Genomic DNA, 14,092 nt, shown 5'->3' with positions numbered 1-14,092 from the left:
CTCTCATTAGTCCTATTCAACATAGTATCAGAAGTCCTGACCAGAGGAATCAGGCAAGAGAAAGAAATAAAGGGCATCCAAATAGAAAGAAGGGAAGTCAAACTATCTCTGTTTGCAGACGACATGATTCTATATCTAGATAACCCCACAGTCTCAATCCAAAAGCTCCTTCAGCTGATAAACACCTTCAGCAAAACTTTAGGATACAAAATCAAAGTACAAAAGTCATTAGCATTCCTATACACCAACAACAGCCAAGCAGAGAGCCAAATCAGGAAAACAATCCCACTCACAATTGCCATGAAAAGAATAAAATACCTAGGAATACAGCTAACCAGAGAGATGAAAGATCTCTATTATGAGAATTATAAAATACTGTTGAAAGAAATGAGAGATGACACAAACAAATGGAAAACCATTTCATGCTCATGCATAGGAAGAATCAATATTGTTAAAATGACCATACTGCCTAAAGCAGTCTACAGATTCAACACTATTCCTATCAAACTACCATTTACTTTGTTCACAAAAACTAGAAAAAACTGTTTTAAAATTAAGATGGAACCAAAAATAGCCCTTATAGCCATAGCAATCCTAAGCAGAAAGACCAAAGCAAGAGGCATCACACTACCTGACTTCAGACTATACTATAGGGCTACAGAAACCAAAACAGCATGGTACTGGCACAAAAACAGACACACAGACCAATAGAATAGAATAGGGAGCCCAGAAACAAGGCCACACACCTACAACTATCTGATCTTTGACAAAGCTGATAAAAACAAGCAATGAGGAAAGGACTTCCTGTTCAATAAATGGTGCTGAGATAACTGTCTAGCCATATGCAGAGATTGAAACTTGACCCCTTCCTTATACCATATACAAAAATCAACTGAAGCTGGATTAAAAGACTTAAACGTAAAACCCAAAACTATAAAAACCCTGAACAATAACCTAGGAAATTTCATTCTGGACATAGGAATGGGCAAAGATTTCATATCAAAAATGCCAAAAGCAATTTAAGCAAAAGCAAAAATTAACAAATGGGATCTAATTAAACTTAAGAGTGTCAGCATAGCCATAGAAACTATCAAAAAAGTAAACAGACAACCTACAGAATGAGAGAAAACATTTGCAAACTATGTATCTCAGAGAGACCTAATATCCAGCATCTATAAAGAACTTAAACAAATTTACAAGAAACAAACAGCCCCATTAAAAAGTGGGCAAAGGACATGAGCAGACACTTTTCAAAAGAAGACATACATGCTGCCAACAAGCATATGAAAAAAATGCAAATCAATACCACAATGAGATACCATCTCACACAGATCAGAATGGGTATTATTAAAAAGTCAAAAAATAACAGTTGCTGGCAAGGTTATGGAGAAAAGGGGACATTTACACACTATTGGTGGGAGTGTAAATTAGTTGAACTATTGTGGAAAGCAGTGTGGCGATTCCTTAAAGACCTAAAAACAGAACTGCCATTCGACCCAGCAATCCCATTACTGGGTATATACCCAAAGGAATATAAATCATTCTATCATAAAGACACATGCACTCATATGTTCATTGCAGTACTATTTACAATAGCAAAGACATAGAATCAACCTAAATGCCCTTCAACGGTAAGCTAGATAAAGAGAGTGTGCACATATAACCATGGAATACTATGCAGCCATAAAAAAGAACAAGATTACATCCTTTGCAGGAACATGGTTGGAGCTGGAGGCCATTATCCTTAGCAAACTAACACAGGAACAGAAAACCAAATACCACATGTTCTCACTTATAAGTGGGAGCTAAGTTGTGAGAACACATGGATGAGAGGGGAACAACACACACTGGGGCTTACCTGAGGGTGGAGTTTTGGAGGAGGGAGAGGGGCAGAAAAAAATGACAATTGGGTACTAGGCTTAATAACTGGGTGACAAAATAATTTGTTCAACAAACCCATGTGACAGAAGTTTTCCTATATAACAAACCTGCACACACACCCCTGAACCTAAAAGAAAAGTTTTTAAAAAATTAAGAAATTAAAAAAAAAAAATACAAGTCCCTCTCCACATTACCTGAGTTTATGCGAATGAAGTGACTCATCGTGAGGCCCCTAGATAGCTTCAGGATGAGACTGGTTACCAGAAAGACCAACACATGATTACAGGGTTGCAACTTTCAGTCTCTCCCTTCCCAACACGCCAACCTCTTGGGAGAAGAGGGGACTGGAAATTGAGTTCAATTGCCAACAGCCAATGATTTAATCAACTATTTCTGCATCATAAAACCTCCATTAGAAACCCCTAAACAACAGGAGTTTGGAGAGCTTCCTAGTTGGTGAGCACACTGAGGTGCTGGGAGGGTGGCTCTGCCCACCGCTCCCACCCCTTGCCCTACTCACCTCTTCCGTGTGGCTGTTTCTGAGTTGTTCCCTTTATAATAAATTGGTAACCGTAAGTGCTTTCCTGAATTCTGTGAGTTGTTCTAACAAATTACAGGACTTGGAAGGGGGGTTGTGAGAATCCCTGAACTTGTAGTCAGTCTGGCAGAAATGTAGTTGCCTGAGGACCTCATTTGTAGCTGGAGTCTGAAGTGGCAGCAGTCTTGTAGGATGAGTTCTTAACCTGTAGGATCTGTGCTAACCCTAGGTAATTAGTGTCAGAATTGAATTGAATTTTTGGACATCAAGTTGGTGTCTGAGAACTGAAGAATTGCTTGTTGGTGTTGGAAAAAAACATCACAAAGCCAAATATCCACTAATAGATGAATAGATAAATAAATTGTATAATTATTCAACAGAATACTACTCAGCAATAAAAAGAAATAAGCTATTGGTATAGGTTATCAGTGTCGATGAATCTCAAAAACTTACACTGAGTGAAAGAAGCTAGACAAAAAGAAATACATATTCTATAAATCCATTTATATAAAATTATAGAAAATGCAACCTAATCTATAGTGGGAGAAGGCAGATCAGTGTTTGCCTGGGGATGGGGACCAGAGGGAGCGCTTACAAAGGGATATGAGGATTTGCGGGGAGAGGTTTATGATCTGCTCATTATCTTGATTGTGGTGATGTGATAGTTTCACAGGCATACACACAAGTCAAACTTATCAAATTATACATTTTAAATATTGCAGTTCATTGTATGTTAATCATACTTCAATAAATCTGTTAAAAATGTTGAATAACTGGAATAAATTGTATTTTATGGTTATCTTTCGGTGGTGGACTTTGGGGAGTTTTTTCTTCATTCTTCATACTTTTCTCTATTTAAAAAATATCTTCCTATGAGGCTTATGGTAGAAAATGAATGTATAAGGCTGGGCATGGTGGCTCACACTTGTAATCCCAGCACTTTGGGAGGCCAACATGGGCAGATCACCTGAGGTCAGGAGTTTGAGACCAGCCTGGCCAACATGGTAAAACCCTGTCTCTATTAAAAATACAATAATTAGCTGGGCATAGTGGTAGGTGCCTGTAAAATCCCAGCTATTTGGGAGGCTGAGGCAGGAGAATTGCTTGAAGTCGGGAGGCAGAGGTTGCAGTGAGCTGAGACTGTGCCATTGCACTCCAGCCTGGGCAACAAAGCAAAACTCAGAAACACCATCTCAAAAAAAAAAAAAAAAAAAAAGAAAGAAAGAAAAAGAAAAAGAAAATGAATGTATATAGTGAAAAAAGCAAATGGTATGAACATATACAGGGCTAAGACAAGATGATTGATTTTACAGTAACATTGTGAGTTAAGTAGTCCTTTTTTGGCCCATCTGGGAACCCCATCACCATTTATAACTAGGCTGCTGTGCAAAAATGTGCTTTTCATTCCAAACACTGATCTTAAATTGAACTCTCAGAACAGTTGTATTTTCTTTTTAACTCTCTTAGCAGCAGGATCCCTTGTTGCAGGTTTTGTTCACAAGTTTCTCTTATTTCCTTGGGATTTTTTTTTTCATAGTAGAGTAAAGTCATTCCTGAAAAATTGAAGCAATATTTGGCATGGGAAATACAGGAGATGAGGATTGAGGCCTGAGAAGTTTTCTGCTTGATTCTCCAGGAAAAGCTTTCAATGTGGTTATGGTCAGAAACAAGACTATAAACATTTCACCTTATTACCGCAAATGCCTGCTTCCTTCTTTAGGTGGCCCTGGTGACAGAACTGCTGGCGAACTAACTGCCTTCTCTCCCTACACACAGCTTCCCTCAACCCCTCAAAGCAGCAAGATTTATGCAAGCCTCCTGTGACAGCAGAGCTTCTGTCCCATCAGTAGCCTTATCAAATCTGTCCTATAGCCCCATCAGACCTGAGCGAACACCTGCTTTCCAGGTAAGTTCTTACCATGGATCAAGGCAGTGGTGCACAAAACAAAACAGGCTGAACATTTCCAAATTGTTGGGACTCATGCCACTTCTTTGGGAGGGCACAACAATCAAATCCAACAGAATTTAGGCTTGCTAGAGCCTAAACAAAAATTCTTTAGTCCCTTTGGAACAGGAAAACTTAGGGAGCACTAAGAAAACTTTGCACAAACATTACAGTGGCTTTTTAGAATAACAAAGATAAAATTCCATTTCCCACTATTTATTGCCTTGGAAACCTCACACACTCTCAGAGACACAACCTGACCACACTTCAGTCTATTGAAAAAAGTACAACCCAGATGATAAACATTTTTCTCTGATTACCCAAAATAGGCTGAACTTGTTGTTTCTTCCTGCTGCACTCTTGTAACACTTACAGCATTATGTTAAACTTTCTTGCTTACTTCAAAGGGAAAACCAATCTCTTTCTTCTATGAATCAGCCCCAACATCTAGCAGTGATAATGACACATAATAGGCATTCAAAAAAGTACGTATGACTTATGCATACTGTTTTGTTGACAAATTCCAACTGCTTGATGAAGCATAAATAAATGCATCATTAAATCCGTCAAAGTAACTGATGGAATAGTGGAAGAATCGCTCAAGGGATTTCTCATTATTTAATATTATCCTTGTTGCTGTTACTTTTGCCAGTTTCTTAAGGTGCTAAAGGGAAGTAGAGTAAAATAGTTACATTAAGTTGTACATTTCAGCATTCTGTTCCCCTTCTCCCAAATTACCGTGACAGCTAACTTTTCAAGAAGTACTTTTTTGAAAAATAATTTCTGTCATTGTATCCATTTAAGAAGGGTGATGTTTGTGTCACCCAGCTTTTCAGTTGTAAGCAATAGAAACCGCTTGTAGCTAATTTAAGCAGAAAAGGAATTTATGAAAGGATATTGGTAACTTGCAGAATCTTGAGTTGGGCCAGAGAATCAGCCAAGGACAATGCTCAAAATGCCACAGTAAACCTCTCCCTCAAAGAGACCACGGTCCCTGGAATTGGGCCCACATGCTGCAGACTGTACAGCTAACATCTCTAATGCACACTGGGCACTGCTATCAAAACAGCCACCACTGCAGCCTCCGGAGGCAGATGGGAGATGTTGTCACTGTGGCCACGTTCGCCAGGACATCTTGCGAGTGGTCTTGCTCCTTTGTGTTACCAGTTTCCAATTCTAAATCCAGGGCAGAAACAAAACTGAGATTCAGGCCCTAGCTGCAAAGGTGCTAGGAAAGTGAGTATCTGGCATATTTGCTCTGTAAGTGGAAGGTGTTTGTGCCCTAATATCAGATGCCAGGGCCATGAATATCCTCTACAAGACTGTTTGGTTATTACTCTCTCAAGGAATAGAAGATTGAAAAATATCTTTAATGTGCAGCCGCTAAGCACTGTTAAATGTTGTCTCTGTGACAGTGACACAAGAAAAAATAAGTGAAACTTAGAATGTGTATAAAGGCAAGCGTTGGACAGTCATGTATAGAAATGAATAGATGGACATCAGGGAGCCTGTGAATGCTCTGAAAGTTTATATTAAATTACGTGTATTTCAAAGACATCTGTTGTTCAAAGAACTTTAGATCCTAGATCTAGATTCTGGTCTAAACCATCTCTACATAGAATAGGCCAATAAGCGAAGTGTCAGAGACAAGCTTATTCAAAGAGGCACAAGGTACCCTAGTAGAGGAAGGCCCAGAACTCACACCTCTAAAATTTGTCTACTGCACATCTTCTGAGTACAAGGCATACTTTAAGATGTGTCTGTCTTAGAACAACCATGTCAATTTGCACCAAAATTATCACATATTTAATGTAAATGCAGAAGCCTATTCCCAGGCTTCAATTTTAGCTTTGCTTTTTATTAGGTTGTCTTGTATTGATACGAATCTTACTTGCTTTCCTTACATTGCCTACCGGTGATGTAGACACATCATCTAAAAGAAGGAGGGAGATGAATCAAGCCAGAAGTTAGAAGCCCCCAGGTAAGGTAACCCCAGCAACACTAGCCATGTGCTGGCTCCTAAAGGGCTCTCCCAGTTGAAAGCATGTGCATAGCTATATAGGTCTTATTTAGAGGACTTTGCTTCCTGTGCTGAAACCACACCACCTCTCATAGCAAGTGGACTACCAGTAAGATTGCTAATTGCATTGTCCAGCCATTTGTCCAATAGTCCAGGTGTTATAAACTCAAATGTCTATTAGGGTGCCAAACAAGTAACACAAGTGAAGCTCTCTAAGGTAAGACAGTTGAAAGTGGAAGGGAACTGTAGTAAACTGAAAGCAGCTGCTAGAAAAAATAGATGCGTACCTTACTTTTTACACCAAAATAAATTCAGGGAATCAATTTAATCAATTTATATCATCAATCAATTACATATCTATCAAAGCAACAACTAAGTCTTTTTTAAGACCTACGAAATGAAGATATCCACAAGTAGATAAAGCCATGTTACATTTTCTTTATTTTTTTTGAGATGGAGTCTCATTCTGTTGCCAGGCTGGAGTGCAGTGGTGCGATCTCGGCTCACTGCAACCTCTGACTCCCTGGTTCAAGAGATTTTCCTGCCTCAGCCTCCCAAGTAGCTGGGATTACAGGCACGTGCCACCATGCCCAGCTAATTTTTGTATTTTTAGTAGAGACGGGGTTTCACCATGTTGGCCAGGATGGTCTCAATCTCCTGACCTCGTGATCCACCCGCTTCGGCCTCCCAAAGTGCTGGAATTAGAGGCATGAGCCACCGCGCCCGGCCCCATGTTACATTTTCTTACTGAGATACATGTAAAAGGATTGGCTGCCATACTCCAAGTGGTCCAACAGAAGGCAGGAAAAATGTCCAGCCCCTTAGAATAGATGAAACAAATTTCAAAGCAATGAGGGGCTGACTTGACTGATGTATGGATCAGGCAGGACCATCATTAAGGCACAATGTCATGATTTTATTGGAATTTTTTTTCTTAGTGAACACAAAATAATGGTGCATCTTGCAATTGATGGTGTCTTAGAAATACTGCATATGTTTTTGTAGTGTGTGGATGCAATACCTTTGAAAGGACACATAAGAATGGTTGGAGCAGTTGCATCTGGGGAACTGGGGAACAGTGTGTATAGACCATTTCATATCTTTTAGATTTTATGCCAAACACAAGGACCATCTATTTAAAAACCTGATACAAATAATAATAATAAAAATAAAATGGTAGCTTTTTATATGCTAATGGAGAATGAAATCTAAAATATACTATAAAAATTTTTAAGTACATACATAAATAGGCAGCACTGCTTAGCTCCAATTTAATTTGCAATGCAGGAATGTAGAGCCAGTGTGCCCAGATCTCATTTTTCAAGAAAAGCTTGAACTCTAGATTTTGTATGAAATCTCCTAATTTTTAAGGTTGACAAGCAATTCAAATTCTTTCAAACATCATTAGGGATAACAAAACCCATCTGTGGGTGGGCTGGGGCCCCGGACTGTCACTTTGGGACATTCACATTGTTCCTGATGGTGGCCCTGTTGCATACACTTATGCAGGTTGTTTGGGGGTGTCTGCCAACAGGACAAGTCAGAAATGAAATACAGACCTGTGCTTTTTTTCACTGAGATATGGACTGTGGCACAGAGCTGCGTGATCCTGGAGCAAAGGACACAAGCGTTACAGTCTGCTCACCAAGCACTGCACCAAACTCACTAAGTTTTCTCAAAAGGGGTGTCTTCTTCTAATTCAAGAAAAGGTGGTCTGTAGGTTTGTGATGGCTTTGCCTGATGAAGAAGTTCAGGAACCCTAGTTTTTAAAGATGAAACTGAAACCCAGATCTGTGTGTGTGTGTGTGTGTGTGTGTGTGTGTGTGTGTGTGTTTCCTGCTGTAAAACAGATAACTTATCTCTCTCTTGGGTTATGCACTCTTTGAGGTGAAAGATTTGCTAGCTCAGAACCAAGTGTGGTTCCTCCCCATGGCTGCATAGGGTTCTGAAGTCCTGTGACTGTCTTGGTTCATCAGGAGTTGACCAAGACGGACATGCAGGTTGTCAAGGAGACAGTTCTTTTTGCATTGTTTGATGAAAATCACCTGCCAAAACTTTTAAATTTATTCCACCTGTCTGTAGCTGAGTGCCCAGCCCTTAGCTGTCACCACTACCTGCTCATTTCCCCACAGGCCAATACGTTACATTGAAGCTAAAGGAAAACAATTTAAATTGGTAGGGCTGTTTGTTGTCCTGAGAATTAATTGAGATAATGCACCGAATGGGTTTGGCATGGTGTCTAGCACTTAGTAAACTCTGAAATGGTCACACTTTAAAAATAAATTGAGATGTAGGCTTCATATATAAAGTGCTAAAAGTCTTCACACCTTATCAAGTTAGAAGCAAAAAATCTTTTGCTATTAGATATCAAAACCCTAGTCTGCCATCCTAGACTCCCCCACACACTGGTTATTACAAGTTGTGGATTCACTTTAATATGGAGATTTCAGTCTGTATGCCCCTTGGTAGCACTGGAAAACAGAGAAGAGCAAGGGAAAATCAGAGGCAGAAAAGTTACTCCTGCCTTTTGGCTTTTTTCTCTCTATTCAACAGTGTCACCTCTACCCACGTAGTGCCCAAATTACTAAGAAACTGGCAATGGTGTAAGTTGAGACATTGACTCTGGTTTGGGACAAAGCAGTCTCCAGGTTTGCCACATGCTGCCTGTGGCACATCCCACATCAACAGGGTAAAAACCAACCTGCATTATAGCATAGTGGCTTCAAGTCTAGATCTTTCTTCATGTGAAAATAGTGATGATTCAAACAATAATGATGGCAATAGTACTCATTTCACAGGGTTGTTTTAAGGAGTAAATGCAGTAATACCTGTAAAGTGTTCAGCATACTCCCGGGCACTGGGAGCTATTATTAGGATCTGAAAAGTAGGACTTATGAAACTTTATTCGTTTATCATACACTAATCAGGTGCCTTTTGTCTCTCTCTCTGCCAGGCATGGTGCTAGAAAGAAGGGAAGACTGGGCCTTTGAGTAGTTTATGGCCTAAGAGATAACAACTTAGGATAGGACAAAAGACAGAGGACATGGTTGTATCTTCATGAGCCACCATCCAAAGGCAATGGGAGTGTGCCTGGCCTATGGGAATTTTGTGTTTTGCACAATTGTACACGGATCATGTTGCTACCTGTACTATAGCTTGAACTTTGCCTTCCATGTGGAGCCAAGTGGGATCAACAATTGAGTAATTTCGACGAAGCTATGACTCACAGAATGAAAGGAATCGAGCTCATTTACTTCATTCCTTGCACTAGTCCTCAGGAAGGTCAATGCCCAAATTATCCAAAATATCTAGGGCTGTCTTTTTCTTCCCAGGGCTGTCTGTGGTGGAGACTTAACTGTTCTCTCTGGAAAGCCACTTGTTTAAGAGCCTCCAATCAAGGGTACTTCTTTCTCATAAATAATCTCATTTTCCTGAAGTGAATCAAGCACATTTTCTCTTAATGAAGGGAAGTGAGCCAGGCAGAGTTTCTATAGGTCACAGGTAGCTCAGCACCCTTCCCACTCCTGCTGGTATTCATCCTCAAGAGCAGCTCATGGCCTTATCACTTTCTCTTTGAGGGAGGCATTAGAGTGCCATTCTGCTGCATTCCACAGGGAGAATATTCAGGGAAGCCCTTCCTGAGAATTTGGTTAAAGGTTAAAGCTTAGTTAACCTGGAAACACCCTATTGTTTTTCAAGAAGTCTCACTAACTTTTCACTACCTGGGGCGAGGGCGGGGGTGGAATCTGGGGAATCTGATTTCCTTTTTCCATTGGTTTCTATGACATAATTAGGGCAGCATCTGCAGGGGCACGGATCCGCAAGGTTAAGGAACCCCTCACTCATCTGTCTCTATCTTAGCCAGGGAGCATGCATACTTCTTGAGAGGGGGAGATCGCTCCTTCCAATAGATATTGTTTCACTTACCACCTACAGTTTTTTAAAGCATTAAACAAAATATTACAAATAAGGAAGCTAGGACATAGTACGCTTCAAGTAAATATTAATTCCTTTTCTTCTAGGTTGGAAAGTTCTTCCCTAAACTGATCTGAATTCAACCTCTGTCTTGCACTCAGATTTTTTCTCACTTCACCTTCTGAGTCAGCATGAGGCAAGCACACTTCTCTACATGACAACTCTTGACGTGTTTGAGATAGCTGCCTTCAGTCTCTCCACCATCTCCAGCCATATTTCATGCTCCTCGCTGTCACTATCTCAAGCACAGCCTGTTCTGAAAAGCCCAGCTAAAATAGACCCTCCTTTGCAGTTATTCTATCAATTACCTTGTTTGTTTTCTTCAAGCACTTTCCACCATCTGAAATTTTCTTGTTCATGTATTTGCTTATTTCTTTATTGTTGATGATAATAGGCTCTTTGAAGGCAGAGATCTTGTGTGTTTTATTCACTACTGGCTTTTGTGCCTTAAACTGTGACTGGAAAGCACTCAACAAATATTGGTTAGTTATTCGTTGAATGAGTAAATAAACAAGTCTGAAACCAAAGTCTTTCAGCCATTCCTTATAAAATTGGACTGTATTCTATTTCCTTGGCTCAGGTAACCAGGTAGCTCCATCCTGTAGATGGTAATGAAGGGTAAATGAGCAAAATCAGAGCAAGGAGCATCTGCTCTCCACTTCTCATTCTTCTTCCTTTGGATGCAGTGTGATACTGAGAATAGCAAAAGCTGTCAGAAATTCAGATCTGATATCTGCTGGTATTTTACTGTGTGACTTTGGAAAAGTCTCTCAACCTTTCTGAGCTTCAGGTTTTGCATATAGTGTGATGGTTAATATTGAGTGTCAACTTGATTAGGATTGAAGGATGCAAAGTATTGTTTCTGGGTGTGTCTGTGAGGGTGTTGCCAAAGGAGATTAACATTTGAGTCAGTGGGCTGGGAGAGGTAGACCCAGCCTTAATCTAATCAGCTGCCAGCACAGCTAGAGTAAAGCAGGCAGGAGAAGATGGAAGAGCAGACTTGCTGAGTCTTCCAGCCTTCGTCTTTCTCCTGTGCTGGATGCTTCCTGCTGTCAAACATCAGACTCCAAGTTCTCCAGCTTTTGGACTCTTGGACTTATTCCAGTGGTTTGCTAGGGGCTCTCGGGCCTTCTGCCACAGACTGAAGGCTGGACTGTCGGCTTCCCTACTTTTGAGGTTTTGGGACTCAGACGGATCCACTACTGGCTTCCTTGCTCCTCGACTTGCAGACGGCCTATGGTGGGACTTTACCATGTGATCGTGTGCGTCAATTCTCCTGAATAAACTCCCTTTCAGATATCCACATATCTTATTAGTTCTGTCCTTCTAGAGAGCCCTGACTAACACATATAGAAAACCTAGAAGTCAGACAACTTGGTCTGGAAGGTGCCCTGGGGCTCAGAAGTTCTGTCAATGGAAATAAAAATGCCACACAGGAGCCCCAGTGTGGCTCAAGTGCACTTATGATCTGGTCATTCTCCAGTAGCAAAGGATCAGTGGCTCCCAAACCCAGATGTATGTTTGAATCACCTAGGAAGTCTGTTTTATTAAATCAGCTTTATCAAGGTACAATTTATGTGCAATTAAATGTACATAGTTTAAGTGTACAGTTACATGAGTTTTGACAAATGTATACACCCATGTAGCTGCCACTCCAATAAAAATGTAGAATATTACTATCACACTGGAAAGTTCTCTTATGCCCCATTACAGTCAATCCACCTAACCTCCTGCCCTATACAACCACTGACCTGATTTCTATAACTATTGGTGAGTTGTATTCATTCTATAACTTTATATATATATATAATATATATACTCACATACTTTATATGTTATGTATATGTGTGTGTATATATAGATATGCGCACGCGCGCGCGCACACACACACACACACACACACACACAGTGTGTACCCTTTTGTGTCTGGTTTCTTTTGCTCAGAATCTTGTTTCTGAGATTTGTTCATGTTGCTGCTTATATCAGGAGTTTGTTCTATTTATATATCTGAGTAATCGTCCATCCTAGGAAGCTTCTTAAATGTAGATTCCTGTGCCCCGATGACACTCTTGACATTAGGATATCTGAAGTCCAGAAATCTGTGAGTTTAACATGCTCCAGAGCAAATTGTTATGCAGAATTTGGGCTTAGGTGCCTTTTAATTAGGGGATTTTTCTCTCAAGTTCAAATAGCTCCCACAATGCAGGTGTTTATGGCTAACAGCAACTTGGTCACAGGTTCTGCGCAGGCCTGAGAACTCTCATTTTTGTTGAGCCATCTTAGCTAGATTTAGTGGCCTGTCTTAGCTCATGAACTTCCTTGTGCCTGTAACACATCCCAGAGTGTAGGCTCTGCAAACACTCTTTCAGCTTCAAGGTATCTGTAAATTGAGTTATAGGTCCCAGTGTTCGCAGGTAAGTCTATAACCTTAATTTATAAAATCTCACCCCTGTCATGGAAAAGCAAAGGTGTTCTGAGTAGCTGTCCATTTCAGCTCAGCTGCTGGAATTACTCATGACAGTTTTATGAGATGTTTTACTGTCCGGGAAAGGTTTTTTTTTTTTTTTTTCCCTTAACAAATGAGGGAAGCATTCTTTGACCATGGTACACAAACGCCACCTTCAGGAAGGAAATATAATATTCTTATTAGACCACAAGGAACATAGTTCATTTTCTTATATGAAAACTTTCAAAAAATTCTTGAGTTTAACATGCAATTTTAAAAAATTTTATTCCAGATTTTTAAAATAGGCTTTCAGTTTTAGGTTCAGAGCAAAATTGAGTGGAAGGTATACAGATTTCCATATCCTCCCTGCCCCTTCATACATAAAACCTCCTCCATTGTCACCACCCCTCATCAGAGTGGCATATTTGTTACAATCAATGAACCCACATCATTATCTCTTAGAGACCATAGTTTCATTAGTGTTAACTCTTAACGTACATTCTGTGGATTCTATAAATATCTAATGACATGTATAATATCATACTGACAGGTGCACTGCCTGATATGGTTTGGCTCTGTCCCCACCCAAATCTCATCTTGAATTCCCACGTGTTGTGGGAGGGACCTGGTGGCAGGTAATTGAATCATGGGGGCAGGTCTTTCCTGTGCTGTTCTTGTGATAGTTAATAAGTCTTATGAGGTCCAATGATTATACAAGGGGGAGATTTCCTGCACGAGCTCTTTGCCTGCTGCCATCCATGTGACATGTGACTTGCTCCTCCTTGCCTTCCGCCATGATTGTGAGGCTTCCCCAGCCACATGGAACTGTAAGTCCAATTCAACCTCTTTTTTTTTGTAAGTTGCCCCATCTCAAGTATGTCTTTATCAGCAGCATGAAAACAGACTAATGCAGTGCACTAAAAATTCTCTGTGCTCTGCCTATTCACCCCTCTGTCCTCCCTAACCCCTGCTAACCACTGATCCTTTTACTATGTCTATAGTTTTGCCTTTTTCAGAGTGTCTTGTATTTAATAGTTGGAATCATACATTATGTAACCTTTTAAGATTGGCTTCTATCAATTAATATGCATTTATGCTTCCCTTTTGCCTTTTCATCGCTTGATAGCTTACTTTTTTAGTACTTCATAATATTCCATTATCTGAATGGACAATAATTTATGTATTCATTCACTTACCAGAGGATATCTTGGTTGCTTCTAAGTTTTGGCAATTATTAATAAGGCTGCTATAAACACTCATATACAGGTTTTTGGAAAAACACATTAA

General features: G+C 40.1%; 3 annotated features.

Moving 5' to 3' along the window:
- Positions 4,111–5,310: an enhancer, noted in NCBI's record as "CDK7 strongly-dependent group 2 enhancer chr5:36422736-36423935 (GRCh37/hg19 assembly coordinates)". NCBI's record gives its function as "activates an origin of replication core promoter dependent on BRD2, BRD4, P300/CBP, MED14 and CDK7 cofactors, with strong dependence on CDK7, by STARR-seq in HCT116 cells {active_cell/tissue: HCT116}" and the evidence as "EXISTENCE:reporter gene assay evidence [ECO:0000049][PMID:35650434]".
- Positions 8,143–8,437: a silencer, noted in NCBI's record as "tiled region #12809; K562 Repressive DNase matched - State 8:EnhW". NCBI's record gives its function as "represses a minimal TATA promoter and a strong SV40 promoter by Sharpr-MPRA in K562 cells {active_cell/tissue: K562}" and the evidence as "EXISTENCE:reporter gene assay evidence [ECO:0000049][PMID:27701403]".
- Positions 9,215–10,414: an enhancer, noted in NCBI's record as "CDK7 strongly-dependent group 2 enhancer chr5:36417632-36418831 (GRCh37/hg19 assembly coordinates)". NCBI's record gives its function as "activates an origin of replication core promoter dependent on BRD2, BRD4, P300/CBP, MED14 and CDK7 cofactors, with strong dependence on CDK7, by STARR-seq in HCT116 cells {active_cell/tissue: HCT116}" and the evidence as "EXISTENCE:reporter gene assay evidence [ECO:0000049][PMID:35650434]".

The sequence above is a fragment of the Homo sapiens genome, chromosome 5, assembly GCF_000001405.40.
Source record: "Homo sapiens chromosome 5, GRCh38.p14 Primary Assembly".
NCBI classification, from domain to species: Eukaryota; Metazoa; Chordata; class Mammalia; order Primates; family Hominidae; genus Homo; species Homo sapiens.
Note: the sequence above shows the minus strand (reverse complement) of the source record. Positions and strands in the feature narration are given on the sequence as shown.